The sequence below is a fragment of the Homo sapiens genome, chromosome 11 (assembly GCF_000001405.40).
Source record: "Homo sapiens chromosome 11, GRCh38.p14 Primary Assembly".
Taxonomy (NCBI): Eukaryota; Metazoa; Chordata; class Mammalia; order Primates; family Hominidae; genus Homo; species Homo sapiens.
Window position 1 is genome coordinate 130270051 of NC_000011.10, and position 17308 is coordinate 130287358.

The following is a 17308-nucleotide window of genomic DNA, read 5'->3' on the forward strand; positions in this document are numbered from 1 at the left end:
GCTCTTAGCATATAAAGTGACGTGGCTGCTTAACATGATGAAAGAGAAAGTAATGAGACTGTTAACCTTGGAAGTAATTTTAGTTGGATGGGAAAAGTTGATATTTGAAAGAATGTATCTATTTAAATATGCAGCCACATCTCAAAACTGGAAGCTAACTTTCAAAAGATACTAACCAGGTTTTAATTATGCTAAAACTGAACTGAGATCACTCACTCGCAGCTTATATTCTAATTAAAACCCATGAAGGACAGAAAAGGTTAAGGAGAGGGGCATATAAGTTTAAGATGCCTGTAAGAGGAATATCCAGGTGGAAATTTATACATAAACTTGTCTGTATTGGCTTTTATCAACTATGCTCCAGATAGAACACTAGGGGCTTTAGATATGCTATCTCACATGAGTTTACATTATAATACCCTGATTTTACAGATGAGGAAACTGAGGCCAGAAAATTATTTGGTTCAAGACCACTTATGTTTATACCAAGCTTCAGACCTACAATCTTCTTCAAAAAGTACAGGTAGCCACATGGGAGTAGAAGAGTCCTATCTGCCTTTTAAGAAGATTTCTTGGTGGCAGCAGTGAGGATAAAGAAAATGCATCTGAGAAATATTTAGAATGGAAAACCACCTAGGCATGATTTTGTACTAAGGGTGGGTGGAACAGTAGCTAAAAGAGTCAGATGGTTTTATCTCTAACTTTGTTTTCACCAAACAAGACAAAAGAAGAGCTGGTTTCGATAGGGGTTGATGATGGGGAAAGAAATGTTTCAATTTTGGATATACTGAGTTTAAAATACCTGAGAAGAATATCCACATGTAAATTTATACATGAAGTTGCCCATTCTGGCCTGCAGTTCAGGGAAGAAGTCACGATAAATTTCATTCTGCTGAATTTATCAGAGCTGAAGACATGTAAAGAATGTACGGGGACGAAGGGCAGAAAGGCACGTTGTTAGAAGCTTGGAGCAGATAGAGCAAAAGGCCTTGGTGAAAACATTTTGTGTCTAATTTCTCTCGACCCTGTCCAGTATTGCACATAACATACAACAGAGTGAAATATATGAATGAATAAATTTATGTTATAAAATTTCTGTCTGGTTTTGCTATATAAAATGCCTATATCTATTCATTATAAATAGTTAAAGGAAAAAGTTGCAATTTGAGTTTACAGTCTTGAATTTCACATTAAAAGCATCAGTATGAAATGATAATGTACTTAATCTCTAGCAATGAATATGGCTAGCACCCAGAATGGCTTCTAAATTCCATTTCTCATCTCAAAAAAACTATAAACTCATGGGTCCTTAGAGAAATGGCTGATTCCATGTCTCAGGCAGTAAATGCCTTCTGGAATATCTGACCAGATAACAAGGAAGCTACCAAAGATTACTCGGGGTATGTCAAAGCTCAAGTCAACTTGAGGAGGTTCCCAACAGACAAACCTAGGAGAACCCCCTCCAACTTCCTGCCAGCCCTAAGCAATCACTAATCTATTTTTTGTCTATAAACTTCCCCATCCAAGACTTTCATATGAATGGAATCATATAATAATGTGGACGTTTGGGGCTCACTTCACTTAGTATAATGTTCTACCATGTATCATGCCTCATTTACATTTATTGCTGAAAAAATACTCCACTCCATATTCCGCATTTTTATTATCTACAGGTTAATGGACACGAGTTGTTTCCAGTTTTTGGCTATTATGAATAATGCTGCTATAAACAATCGTGTAAGTTTTTGTGTGGATGTATGTTTTCAGTTTGTTGGGTATATGTGTAAGACAGGAATTGCTGGGTCATATGGTAACTCTATATTTAATCATTTGAGAAATTGTCAGACTGTCTTCCAAAGCAGCCACACCTTTATATTCCCATCAAGAGTGTATGAGGAGGCTGGATGCGGTGGTTCACATCTGTAATCCTAGCACTTTGGGAGGTCGAGGCGGGTGGATTACTTGAGGTCAGGAGTCAAGACCAGCCTGGCCAATATGGTGAAGCCCGAACTCTACTAAAAATACAAAAAAATTAGCTGGGTGTAGGGGTGGGCGCCTGTAATCCCAGCTGCTCGGGAGGCTGAGGCAGGAGAATAGCTTGAATCTGGGAGGCGGAGGTTGCGGTGAGCCAAGATCACGCCACTGTACTCCAGCCTGGGTGTCAACGAGACTCCGTCTCCAAAAAAAAAAAGAGTGTATGAGGATTCTGATTTCTCCACATCCTCACCAACACTTATGATTCAACTTTGTTTCTAGTCATCCTAGTGGATGTGAAGTGGTATCTCACTGTAGTTTTAATTTACATTTCCCTGATAAGTAACAATGTTGAGCATCTTCATGTGCTTACTGGACATTAGTGTATCTTCCTTGTCCATTTGGAGCTCTGCCCATTGGGTTGTCTTTTTGTTACTGAGTTGTCAGAGTTCTTTATATATTCTAGTTGTGAGTTGCTTACCAGAGAAATGGTTTGCAAATATTTTCTCTCATTCTGTGGGTTGTCTTTTATGACGGTGTCCTTTGAAGCACAGAAGGTTTTAATTTTTATGAAGTTCAGTGTTTTTCTTTTGCTGTTCATGCTTTTGGTATCGTATCTACAAATTCCTTGCCAAATACAAAGTCATGAAGATTTACTAATATCTTTTTTTTTTTTTCAAGGAGTTTTAAAGTTTCAGGCCTTTAACCTATTTTGAGTTATTTTTTGTATATGGTCCCACCTCGTTCTTTTGCATGTAGCTATTTAGTTGTCCCAGTACCATCTGTTAAAAAGCGTATTCTTTTACCACTGAAAGATCTTGGCATCCTTGTTGGAAATCAGTTGAACACAAATAGGTTTATATCTGGACTCTCTATTCCATTGATTTATATGTCCTTGTGCCAGTACCACAATGCTTTAATTACTGTTGTTTTGCAGTAAGTTTTGAAGTCAAGAAGCTGAGTCCTCTTATTTTGTCCTTTTTCAGTACTATTTTGGCTATTCTGGGTCCCCTGCAACTCCATATTAATTTCAGAATCAGACTGTCAATCTTTACAAAGTCAGCAAGGATTCTGATAGGAACTGCATTGAATTTATAGATTAGTTTGGAGAATACTGCTATCTTTACAATGTTGAATCTTCTGATCCATGAACATGGGGTGTTTTTCTATTTATTTAGATTGTCTTTAATTTCTTTCAGCCATGTTGTAAGTTTTCAGAGTATGAGTTTTTCTTTGTTAAATTTATTCTTTTGATGTCACCATGAATAAAATTATTTTCTTAATTTTTTTTTTTTTTTTTTTGAGACAGAGTCTCACTCTGCTGCCCCAGGCTGGAGTGCAATGGTATGATCACGGCTCACTGAAGCCTTGATCTGCTGGGCTCAACTGATCCCCCTACCTCAGTCTCCTGAGTAGCTGGGACTACGGGCATGGGCCACCAACATGCCTGGCTAATTTTTGTATTTTTTGTAGAGATGGGGTTTTGACACATTGCCCAGGCCGGTCTCAAACTCCCGGGCTCAAGCAATCCACCCACCTTGGCCTCCCAAACTGCTAGAATTACAGGCATGAGCCACTACCTCCAGCCTGTTTTCTTAATTTAATGCTTCACTGCAAGTGTATAATAAGACAACTCATGTTTGTATACTGGTTTTATATTCTGCAACCTTGCTCAACTTGTTTATTAGTCCTATACTTTTTAAATGAATTCCTTACGATTTTCTATAAACAGGTTGAGTATCCCTTATCCAAAATGCTTGGGGGCCAGGCATGGTGGCTCACATCTGTAATCCCAGCACTTTGGGAGGCTGAGGCAGGTGGATCACTTGAGGCCAGGAGTTCGAGACCAGCCTGGCCAACATGGAGAGACCCCACCCGCCCAACCCCGGCCCATCTATAAAAAATACAAAAAAATTAGTTTGACGTGGTGGCACATGCCTGTAATCCCAGCTAGTAGGGGGGCTGAGGCAGGAAAATAATTTGAACCCAGGAGGCGGAGGTTTCAGTGAGCCAAGAGCACACCACTGCACTCCAATCTGAGTGACAGAGCAAGATTGTCTCAAATAAAAAAAAAAAAGTTTGGGACCGAAAGTATTTTGAATTTTAGAATATTTGCATTACATGTTATTAGTTGAACATTCCTAAATCCAAAAACCCGAAATCCAAAATGCTCTAATGAGGATTTTGAGCGTCATGTTGGTGCTCAAAACACTTTGCACTTTGGCGCATTTCAAATTTTACATTTTTGGATTTGGGATGCTCAACGTGTATAAGATCAGGTCATCTGAAAACAGTCTTACCTCTTCCTTTCCAAACTAGATGCCTTTTATTTATCTTGCCTAATTTCCTTACCTAGAGTCTCCAGTGCAATGTTAAACAGAAATAGCAAGAGCAGATATCCTTGTCTTGTTCCTAGTCTTAGAAGGGGAAATTCCCAGTCTGTTATCACTGATTATGTTAGCTACGAGGTTTTCATAGATGCCCCTTTTCAGGTTAAGGAAACTCTTCTCTATTCCTAGTTTGCTACAGTGTTACTATCACTAAAGGGAATTCAATGAGTCAAATGCTTTTTCTGCATCTATTGATATAATCATGTAATTTAAAAATTATTCTATTAATATATTCCATTAATTAATTTTAAATGTTGAACTAGCCTTGGCAACCTGGAAAAAATCCCAGTTGATCATGTATGATACAGTTTGTTTTTTAAAAAAATATGTTGTGGGATTCAGTTTGCTAGTACTTTGTTGAGGATTTTCACATCCATTATTCATAAGAGATATTGGTCTGGAGTTTTCTTGTGACGTCTTTGTCTGGCTTTATTGTCAGGGTAAATACCAGCCACATAAAATGATATGGGAACAGCAGTTCCCTCCCCTCCCGTTTTTTGGAAGAGTTTGTAAAGAATCGGTATTAGTTCTTTAAATGTTTGGTAGAATTCACTGTAAAGCTATCTGAGCCTGGGCTTTTCATTGAAGGTAGTTTTTAAATTACTAATCTCATTACTTGATATAGATCTATTCAGATTGTCTACTGCTTCTGACATTTGACATATGACAATTATATTGCTATAAAATTTTTCATAGTATTCTTTTATGATCTTTATTATTTCCTTCCTTATGCCTCCTTAAGTAGGTTTGCTCTTTTTCCAGTGTCTTAAGGTGGAGGGGCGAGGTCATTCATTTGAGATCTTTCTTCTTCCTTAATATAAGCATCTGTAACTATAAATTTCCCTCTAAGCACTGCTATAACTACATACCGTGAGTGTTTGTAATGTCGTATCTTCATTTTTATTCACCATAGAACATTTTCTTTTTTAAAATACATTTTAAAAAATAGTGACAGGGATTCACTATGTTGCCCAGGCTGGTCTCAAACTCCTGGGCTCAAGCGATTCTCCTGCCTTGGCCTCCCAAAGTGCTGAGATTAAAGGAGTGGGCTACCATGCCTAACCCACTCTAGAATATTTTCTGATTTCATTTGGATTTCTTTTTTGATCTGTTGGTTATTTAGGAATGCATTGTTTAATTACCACATATTTGTGAGCTTCTCAAATTTTTTCCTGCTTTTGATTTCTAATTTCATTCCATATGGTCTCAGAACATAATCTCCATTTTTTTTTGAGACAGAGTCTCACTCTGTTGCCAGACTGGTATGCAGTGGCATGATCTTAGCTCACTGCAACTTCCGCCTCCCAGGTTCAAGCAGTTCTCCTGCCTCAGCCTCCCAAGTAGCTGGGAGTACAGGCGCGTGCCAGCATGCCCAGATAATTTTTGTATTTTTAGTAAAGACAGGGTTTCACCATGATGGCCAGGATGGTCTCGATCTCTTGGCCTCGTGATCGGCCCACCTTGGCCTCCCAAAGTGCTGGGATTACAGGCATGAGCCACCGCGCCAGGTCATTTGCATTAAAATCTATTGGCCAGGTGCAGTGGCTCACGCCTGTAATCCCAGCACTTTGGGAGGCCAAAGCGGGTGATCACCTGAGGTCAGGAGTTTGAGGCTAGTCTGGCTAACACGGTGAAACCCCGTCTCTACTAAAAATACAAAAATTAACCAGGCATGGTGGCAGGTGCCTATAATCCCAGTGACTGGGGAAGCTGAGGCAGGAGAATCGCTTGAACTCGGGAGGCAGAGGTTGCAGTGAGCTGAGATCACACCTTGGCATTCCAGCCTAAGCAACAAGAGTGAACGTGAAACTCTGTCTCAAAAAAAAAAAAAAGAAAAAAGAAATCAGAGGTTTGTTTCATGGCTAGCATATGGTCTATAATGGAGAATGTTCCATGTGCACTTGAGAAGAACATATACTCTATTGTTGCTGGGTGAAGTGTTCCATAGATGTCAGTTAGGTCTAGTTGGTTTATAGCGTCTATTTACTTGTTGACCTTTTAATTTTCTATACGTTTCTTTTTTTTTTCTTTTTTTTTTGAGACAGAGTCTTGCTGTGTTGCCCAGGCTGGAGTGCAGTGGCATGATCTTGACTCACTGCAACCTCCACCTCCTGGGTTCAAGTGATTCTCTTGCTTCAGCCTCTCGAGTAGCTGGGATTATAGGAGTGCACCACCATGCCTGGCTAATTTTTGTATTTTTAGTAGAGATAGGGTTTTACCATGATGGCCAGGCTGGTCTCAAACTCCTAAGTGATCTGTCCGCCTCGGCCTCCCAGAGTGCTGGGATTACAGGTGTTAGCCACTGTGCCCGGCCTGTTCTATACATTATTAAAAGCGGTATACTGAAGTCTCCAACTACTAATGTTGAATTGTCTGTTTCTTCATTTCTGTTTTTGCTTCATGTATTTTGGTATTCTGTTATTACATATATGCAACATAACTGTTACAGCTTCCTGATGAAATGACCCTTTTATCCTTATAAAACGTCTCTAGTAACACTTTTTGTTATAAAGTCTATTTGCTGGATACGAGTAAAACCACTCTCGCTTTCTGGTGGTTGCTGTTTACATGATATATTTATTTCCATCCTTTTACTTTCAATCTATTTTTCTTTGAATGACAATTATGTCTCCTTTAGCTAGCATACAGCTGGATAATGCTGTTTATAAACTTAGTCTGACAATCTCTGTCTTTTGATTTCAATCCGTTCACATTTAATGTTATTTGTATAGTTAGATTCAAACGTGCAATTCTATGTCCCATGTCTGTTTTGTTCCTCTACTATTCCTTTAGTGCTTACTTTTGTATTATTTTCTAATGTAGCATCTGCAGGTTTAAAATGATTTTTAATTATATTTTTTGAGTTGTTTTTAGTAGTTGCTCAAGGTTTTAGAATATATACCAGAACCAGCTTCAGATCTATACTAGCTTAATTCTTGTGACAGACAAAAACATGACTACTATATATGTCAATTCCCTCCCCCATTTATAGTAGCATTGTTACAGATATCATATCTGCTCATGATTACAAACACAATATGTGGTCATGATTACTGCTTTCCCATCTGTAGTCATTTCCTTAGCCCAACACAGCTTTGCTCCTACCCACTTATTTTTGTGCTGTTACTGGCAGATATATTACAGATTTATTACATTTCTTTGTTATGGGATCAGCATTACATATATGTATATACATATAAAATAGCTTGCTTTTTAATAAACTTATAACAAGAAAGGAGAAAAATGTTAATTTCTTTTTTTTAAAGTAATTATATAATTACCTTTTCTGATGCTCTATTTTTTTGTGTGCATTCAAATTACCATCTAGGGTCATTTGCCTTCAGCCTGAAAAAATTCCTTTGATGTTCCTTGTAAAGTGGGTCAGCTAGCAACAAATTTTCGTTTTTATCTAGGACAGTCTTTATTTTGCTTTCATTTAAAAAAGATAGCATTGTTGGATATAAGATTTTTGGTTGACAGTTTTCTTCCCTCGTCCTTTGCACATTTTGAATATGTTCTCCCAACGCCTTCTGGCCTCCACTGCTATAAGAAGTCAGCCATTAATCCTACAGTGGTTCCATTTTGAGTGAGTTATTTTCTTACTATTTTAAAGATTTTCCCTTTTTAAACTTTTAGCGTTTTTACTGTATGTTTAAATTGCTACATTTTTCTTACTTAGAAAAAGATTTTCAGTAAAGATGCTCCAATGTATGGAATTATATCCAATAAGCCCATTGTTAGTTAAAAATATCAAAGTCGAAAATGCATTTAATATACCTACCTTCCTAAAGATCACAGCTTAGTCTAGCTTAAAGTGCTCAAAACACTGACATTAGCTTACACAGTTGGGCAAAATAACCTAACACAAAGTATTTTTAAATAAAGTGTTCAGTACCTCATATGATTTATTGAATACCACATTGAAAGTGAAAAACAGAGTGGTTGTAAGGGTACTTGAAGCACGGTTTCTACTGAATGCTTTATCACTTTCACTTTTGTGCTATCATACACTAAAAACTTGTAAGTCAAACCATCATTCGTTTGTATGGGAAGTTTTCTGCCACTATTTGAGTGTTTTTTTCTATTGCTATATCATTTTCTATTGTTATCTTCTTTCTCTTCCTCCTCTCCTTCCAGAACTCCCATTACTCTTAAGTGTTTAATGGTATGTGGGATGGTGTCTTATGTTTTGCTGAAGCTCTACTCATTATTATCTTATCTCTGTTCCTCAGTTTGCATAATTTCTATTGATCTATGTTCGAATTCACTAAACCCATCTTCTGCCAGTGAAGAAGAGCACTGCTAGTGAATTTTCGGTTAATTATTTTTTTCAATTCCAGAATTTCTAATTGTTTTTTCAATAATTTTTATATTCTTATTGATAGCCTCTATTTTATGCAAAATTGTCACTATACCCACTTTTACCTCTTTATGCTTTTTCTCTAGTTCTGTGAACACACTTATGATGGCTATTTTGAAGTCTTTTCTGTTAAATCTGACATGTGGTCTCTCTCACACAGGCAGTTTATAAGGTCTGCTTTTTTTCTGGTGCATGAGTCATAATTTCTTTTTTCTCTGCATGCCTCATAATTTTTTGCTAGACACTGACATTTTTGATAATATAGTATAGCAAATCCAGTTACTGTTCCTTTCTTCTACCTCCCTCTTTCTTGGTGCTTCTTACTGTTTCTTGCTTATTTTTTAGTGACTAGCCGAATTATTTTAGCAAAGTCTATTTCCCCACTTCCCCAACCTCCACAATGCTAAGCCTTGGATGTTGATCCACAGAGAGGTACATTTTTGGGTACGCCCACAGTCACCCTGGACTTACAGTGATATTCTAGCTCTTATCACACCAAGGTGTTAAACTCCACTAACTGTTCTACTGTTATTTAAAAAAAAAAAAAAAAAAAAGCCCTGGGTTTATATTCTACAAATTAATTGAAATCAAAATGTGGCTCAGGTTGGGTGCAGTGGCTCACACCTGTAATACCAGCACTTTGGAAAGCTGAGGCAGGTGGATCACTTGAGGCCAGGAGTTCGAGACCAGCCTGGCCAACACGGCAAAACCCTGTCTCCATTAAAAATACCAAAATTAGCTGGGCTTGGTGGCATGCACCTGTGGTCCCAGCTAACCGGGATGCTGAGGCAGGAGAATCGCTCGAGTCCAGGAGGTGGAGGTTGCAGTGAGCTGAGATCATGCCACTGCACTTCAGCCTGGACAACAGAGCGAGACTCTGTCTCAAAACCAACCAACCAACCAACCAACCAACCAACCGTAGCTCATTTGAAGGAACAGTTTGAGGTCTATCTGATATTTCTTCTTGCTACAGTAGAGCTTCACTTAGCTGTCTTATTCTGGTCTTTTCTATAGTCCTCTCCCACAACTACCACCATTTTTGAGAGTGCCCTTAGCTTTGAAATTCTACACATTATCTTCCCAATTAAGTAAGCTGCATTCAGAAGAGATTAAGAACTATTGGTCTACTTCTCCCCACCACAAAAAATCTCTGAGCCAAGTCTCTAAAGCTGGGGATGGAAATAATTGCAAGATTCTCTCAGAATGAAATCCCTGCTCTAGGAGCTGAGTACTTGGCAGAAAGGGGGACAGCAACCTGAAGACTTCTAGGCTTGACTCAATCATTGCTTCACAAGCCAGCGCAACGGCAATTTTTGTCCCAGTATTCTCAGGGTGTCAAGCCCAAAGTACAGCCTTCATTTCATTAGCAGGGGATGGGTGTAAGAAGGGAGCCTCTACCTCTAAAGTGCATTTGCAATTATAATAAATGCAAATGATTTAATCACAACAATGAAAACACAGAGACAGCACGAGGAGAAAAAAGAGAAAAACCATGATCTCAATGTAGTCTGTTTATAAGTAACTAACTTCAAACATATCTTAGGTACGTTAAAGGGGAAAGGTTGGAAAAGAATACATACCATTTAAACACTAATCAAAAGAAAGCTGAACTGGATTAACTCATCAAGTGAAACAATTCTGTGTATATACCTTAAAAGACAGCATCAAAATACATGAAGTAAAAACGACAGAAATGAAAGAAAAAATATACAAGGCCCTAATCTTAGAGACTTTAACACTCCTGTCTCAGCCATCACAAAACTAGTAGGCAGAAAATTAGCAAAGACATAACACCATCAACCAACTGGATCTAACTGCCATTTATAGAACATTCTATGCAGTAACAGAAGAATAGTCAGTCTTTCTAATGTATGTTCTCTGACCCTAATGGAATTACAACACAAAAATTGGTAACAGAAAGGTAATTAAAAAATCACCAAACTTCTTTACGTTGACTTGTTCCTGTCATTGATTAGTTCTAGCACGCTTTTTGTATTTTTAAAAAATTACTTGGGTGTAAATAATCAGGTCTCTCAATAAGAAGTTTTGTTTTTTCCTTTCATATCTCTATGCCTATTATTTTTCTTGCCTTTTTGCACCAGTGAGGACTTTTAATATAATGTTTAATAGGATTGGTGGGAATAGAACTTGAGGGAAAGGACAATCTCGCCTTTTTAGCATCCAGTCTTACTATCTCTAGGTTTTTTGTAATTGCCCTTTGCCAGGTTGGGGAAGTTCTCTCATTAACACAACACACTTCTAACAATCCATAAATCAAAAGGCAAGACACAAGGGAAGCTATAAAACGTTAAAATGAACAAAAATGAAACACATCTACATTTATGGAATGCAGCTAAAGTAGTGCTTATAGGGAAATTCATTCCCTTAAATGATTATAATTAGAAAATGAGTAAGGTCTCAAATTAATCATCCAAAGTGTCTGCCTTAAGAAGCCAGAAAACAGGCCGGGCGCGGTGGCTCACGCCTGTAATCCCAGCACTTTGGGAGGCCGAGGTGGGAGGATCACTTGAGCCCAAGAGTTCAAGACCAGCCTAGGCAACACAGTGAGACCCTGTCTCCACAAAAAATACAAAAATTAGTTAGGTGTGGTAACATAAGCCTGTGGCTCCAGGTACTTAGAAAGCTAAGGTGGGAGGATGGCTTGAGCCCAGGAGTTCGAAACAGCAGTGAGCTGTGATTGTGCTACTGCACTCTAGCCTGGGCAACAGAGACCCTGTCTCAAAATAAATAAATAAATAAATAAATAAATAAATAAATAAATAAATAAATATTTTAAAAAGTAGTTTTATTGTTGTTGTTGTTTTTTGGGGGGGGGATGGAGTCTCGTCTCACTCTGTCACCCCGGCTAGAGTGCAGTGGTGTGATATCGGCTCACTGCAAGCTCCACCTCCCGGGTTCACGTCATTCTCCTGCCTCAGCCACCCAAGTAGCTGGGACTACAGGCTCCCGCCACCACACCCAGCTAATTTTTTGTATTTTTAGTAGAGACGGGGTTTCGCCGGGGTTTCGCCGTGTTAGCCAGGATGGTCTCGATCTCCTGGCCTCGTGATCCGCCCGCCTTGGCCTCCCAAAGTGCTGGGATTATAGGCGTGAGCCACCGCGCCCGGCCTATTGTTTTGATGATGTGCCCATGTCATTTTATTTTGTAAAAGTTCTCCAATACCCTATTTGCATGAGCCCAGGAATTCAAGGTTACAGTGGGCTATGATCATGCCACCACACTCCAGCCTGGGTGATGGAGTGAGACCCAATTTCTTAAAATGAAACATAACACCCTATTATAAACTAAAGCCTACATCATCTAAGTTACTTAATAAGCAGCAGTTAAGGTTATTTTTGTGGCAGAATATACACAAAATTTACTGTTTTAACTATTTTTAAGCATACAGTTTGTATGTTCACATTATATACATTCACACTGTGGTTCAACCATCCATCACTATCCGTCTCTGGAGCTTTGTCATCATCCCACAGTGAAACACAGTACTCATTAAACAATAGCTCCCCATTCTTCCCATCCCCATGTTCCTGTAGTCACTGTTCTACTTTCTGTCTCTATGAATTTGACTACTGAAGGTACCTCATATAAGTGGAAGCATTCAATATTTGTTTCTGGCTTATTTCACATAGCGAAGTGTTCTCAAGGTTCTTCCACAATGTACTACTGTGTCAAGATTTCTTCCTTTCTAAAGCTGAATATAAACCACATTTTGTTCATCCATTCTACTCATGCTGGACACTTGAGTCTTTTCTACAGATTTTAAATCCCTGACTTAACCAATAAAAGGTTTGAATCACAAACTTAATTTCCAGGTAAAGAGCAATGTTGAAGGCCACCTAGCCCTACAGCCTTCTACTAATTAAATCACTTGACTGAAGTTACCCCAAACATAGAATTCTGTATTTTGCAGTATTTTGAGTAAGAGTGGCTACCACCTTAAACGGTTCACATTTCTCTCTTCCACGTTGGCAATTATCACCTGTATTTTATTTAGCCACGACACACGACAGCAGATGTCATGTGTGTGACACACCTCCCTGGGCAAGGAGATTTTTGTTTAAATTAGAGATGGGGTCTCGCTATGCTACCCACATTGGTCTCCAATTCCTGAGCTCAAGCAATCCTCCCATATCAGTCTCCTAAGTAGCTGGGACTACAGGTCCCCACCACTGTGACTAGCTCCAATATTTTTTTAATTGTGGTTAAAAAAAATATAAAATAAAATTTGCCATTCTAACCTTTTTTTTTTTTTTTTTTTTTTTTGAGATGGAGTCTCGCTCTGTCACCCAGACTGCTGGAGTGTAGTGGCGCAACCTTGGCTCACTGCAACCTCCATCTCCCAGGTTCAAGCAATTATCCTGCCTTAGCCTCCCAAGTGGATGGGATAACAGGTGTACGGGACTCACCTGGCTAATTTTTTTGTATTTTTAGTAGAGAGGCGGTTTTGCCATGTTGGCTAGGCTGGTCTCAAACTTCTGACTTCAAATGATCCACCCGCCTCGGCCTCCCAAAGTGCTGGGATTACAGGCATGAGCCACCGTGCCCGGCCCATTCTAACCATTTTAAAGTGTACAGTTCAGTGACATTAAGTACAATCACACTGTTGTGCAACCATTTCCTATTTCCAAAATTTTTCATCAGCAAGGCCAGATTTTTACAAAACTCAAAAGAACTGCAGGGAACAAAAGCAAAGCGCACCAGACTTTATTTTGGCATGATCACTGCAAAATAATCTTATGTAAGAATTACTCAATTTAAATTTATATCAAAAGATTTTCATTTTTAATAAACACAATTATATGTTCAATCTCATTTTAAAAAATTAAGCTTTATTCGACAATGAGAAGGCATCTTGATTTTTTTTCTTGATATTAAAAAGGCAAAGCAGGCCAGGCGCAGTGGCTCATGCCTGTAATCCCAGCACTTTGGGAGGCCGAGGTGGGTGGATCACCTGAGGTCAGGAATTTGAGATCCACCTGGCCAAAATGGTGAAATCCCATCTCTACTAAAAATACAAAAAAAAATTAGCTGGGCATGATGGCAGGTGCCTGCAGTCCCAGCTACTCAGGAGGCTGAGGCAGGAGAATCTCCTGAATCCGGGAGGTGGAGGCTGCAGTGAGCCAAGTTTGTGCCTTTGCACTCTACCCTGGGTGACAGAGTAAGACTCCATCTCAAAAAAAAAAAAAAAAAAAAAAAAAAAAAGGCAAGCAGCTGGGCACGGTGGCTCATGCCTGTAATCCAAGCACATATGGGAGGCTGAGGTGGGCAGATCACCTGAGGTCGGAAGTTCAAGACCAGCCTGGCCAACATGGCGAAACCCCGTCTCTACTAAAAATACAAAAAAGGCAAGCAAGCAAACAGGTAGGTAAATTTTTTCACATTTAATATTAGAATTCATGCAATTTATAGAATTATACTGTATATGATGTTAATTGCAAATTTTTTCATTGTATCATTCTTGCTCATAGGCAATACGGACAAACAACTCACACTTTGCAGTCATCCTCCTCTTATTAAAAGTTTATTCATTGGTAAAATAAAATTCAAGTAACTAATAATCACAAACACTTTGGTAATGTATAATTACCACAACTGTTCATGGTACCTCAACAAACATTTACTGGTGGCATATACTTGTGCTAAAGCCCAGAAAAGTAAACCAAGTCAGTTACTTAATGTCAGTTATTAACGTCAGAGCTAGGGATGTCAGTTACTTAATGTCAGGGCTAGGGATGGAGCACAGATGACTTGGTTCTTAAGAGTCCACTACTTTGTACAAAAAGCACTGTTGGCCAAGCGTGGTAGCTCACCCCTGTAATTCCAGCACTTTGGGAGGCTGAGGCGGGTGGATCACGAGGTCAGGAGTTCGAGACCAGCCTGACCAACATGGAGAAACACCGTCTCTACTAAAAATACAAAATTTAGCCGACGTGGTGGCACGTGCCTGTAATCCCAGCTACTCTGGAGACTGAGGCAGAAGAATCGCTTGAACCCAGGAGGTAGAGGTTGCAGTGAGCTGAGATCATGCCACTACACTCCACAGCCTGGGAAACAGAGCGAGACTACGTCTCCAAAAAAAAAAAAGTCCACTGCTTTGTACAAAAATCACTGTTAAAAACAGGACCTGGGGGCCAATCTCTCTAAATTTTAAGTATATTTTGACTTCTTTTCTTTGTGAAAATCATCACATCCATATACACAAAACGATCTGACCATAATGCAGTCACTGACTGTGGCTCCTTCTATCTTGCGGCATCTGGGATTCTGGCTGAAAGGTTTTACCAGTGCTGGTGGGAACCAGTGAGTTCTTCCTTTCCGAAGTATGGAGCAAAGCCATGTCCTTTGAGTTTGAACTGGTGGAGCCAAGAGTTCCTCACTAGTCTCTTTACTAAGGAGTTTTTGGTTTTCATAAAAATCTTTGCTTTTTAATTTCTTCTCTGTATTTTTCATTCTTTAGTATTTCCTCCATCGTAGGTGGAGTTATTCTTGTTTTCTTTTTTTTTTTTTTTTTTGAGATAGAGTTTCGCTCTCGTTGGCCAGGCTGGAATGCCGTGGCACAATCTCGGCTCACTGCAACCTCCGCTTCCCGGGTTCAAGTGATTCTCCTGCCTCAGCCTCCTGAGTAGCTGGGATTACAGGCGTGCACCACCATGACTGGCTAATTTTTGTATTTTTAGTAGAGATGAGGTTTCACCATGTTGGCCAGGCTGGTCTCGAACTCCTGACCTCAGGTGATCTGCCTGCCTTGGCCTCTCAAAGTGCTGGGATTACAGGCGTGAGCCACCACACCCAGCCTCTTTTTTGTTCTTCTGATCTAAGCTTCCCATTCTGTTGGAATATCCCCTACTTCACAGTCTAATTTTTTATTTGCTGCTTCTACAATTCTTTTCTCTTGAATAGTTTGTCCTCACCTCTCCAGTTCTTGTACTCTGGAATAGAGTAGTATTTGTTCCCAAACCAGTTCATGCCCACATGCTCCTATACTTCTTTTGACAGTGATATCCACAAGGCACACAACAAATCCTGAGACCAACCCGTGCTGTCCACTCTGCTCTCAGAACTGCTAGCAGCCAGTATGCAGCAGGGGTAATGCTCCAGCCACTGATCCAGCCCACCTACAAGTATTCTTTCTAGTGATTTGATAATAGTGTAAGAAAACTTGTTTCTATAAAGGAACTGTTCTTGTTGGAATAAAAATCTTACTACTTCTAAAACTCATATTCGATCTGTTCAAAGCAGTAAATCAACTATCCGAAAAGTGACAAACTACACAACTAAAAAGATTGATGTGGAAAAATGTTAGGACTCATTACAGTCAATTCCTTTCTAAATTATCAGACTGAGACGAAATCAGGCAAATTCTGTAACAAAGTGATCTTTAAAAAAATGAAAAAATCACCAATGGGCCAGAATATTAAAAGCTGAGTCCTTAGCTGTAGTTATTTGCTGCCTAACAACCTAAAGAGAAAAAAGTGACTGTGAAAATGACAGATATTAGCCTATTCTGATTATCTGAATATCCCAGAAAAATACATACTTTTTGACCTGTAAATGTATTTTTAAAATTACAATAAACTTAAAAAAAATCTATTAATTTGAATAGTCTCTGAAACTTACTACCTGAAATTTTCCCCATAAATTATATCTCACACTATAACTACTCAATTCCTATTAAGGTTTCTAATTCTAGATCTGCCATAGACACTCGTGGTATCCCTGTCCCTTTGAACTACAGAAGATTGCTCCAAGGATAAATACATTTGAATCTTCTGACACATTACTAAGCATTAATTAAAAGAATTATAGTCTTTTCATATTACCCAAAACTCAGTGACAGATTTCTTCACCTCATGCATAATTAGGCTTTGAGTATTTCACATTCAATTCAATTATCAATGAATATATTAACGTTGCCTGGAGACAGCATGTCCACTAGGTAGAACAACAGCTTTTTAGTTCAGACAGACCTGCATGTTAATCATGGTTATATGACTGTAGTGGCTGGATGACCTTAAACAAGTGAGCTTTCTGAGGACTGTCATACAGATTCAATGAGATGAGTCTATGTAAAGAGCCCAGTGCCCAGCACAGACTGTTTATATAAGAATATGGTGCAGCAGTGATTAACAGATAAGCTATCATTATTGACAGATCTCTGACTCTACCACCTTTGACTAAAATCTCAGCAATATCCCTCTGAATGTCAATTCTGGGCTTCTACTGACCAGCTAGAGTGCTAGACAATTCCATCTGAATGTGTTCGCCATCTTGCAAATTCAATGTCTGAAAACAAACTCAAATTATTACCCAACTAACATACCACTACAGAATTTCTTAATCTGTTAATCATGGACACCTTCAATTGCTCAGTCACCCATAGCTTAAAATCTAGTACTCATTTTTGATTCTCCATGCCCCATCCCTCACCTCCCATCAAAACTGGGTATCATCCATCAGGCACTCTCCCTTCACAGCCAAGTTTATAAAAATTACAGATACTCCCCACTTATAAATGTTTATCATAAATCAAAGTCATTTCTCAGAGCAAGAGTGTTAACTATG

The 17308-nt window shown here is 38.9% G+C and overlaps 1 protein-coding gene and 1 pseudogene across 24 annotated transcripts in view; both read right to left on the reverse strand.

Annotated features, from left to right (window-relative positions):
• Window positions 1-17308, reverse strand: part of ZBTB44 (zinc finger and BTB domain containing 44) — an 88241-nt gene that overhangs the window by 43374 nt on the left and 27559 nt on the right. The gene's annotated exons all lie outside the window — the stretch shown is intronic.
• NDUFAF2P2 (NDUFAF2 pseudogene 2) lies at window positions 15542-15834 on the reverse strand (annotated as a pseudogene).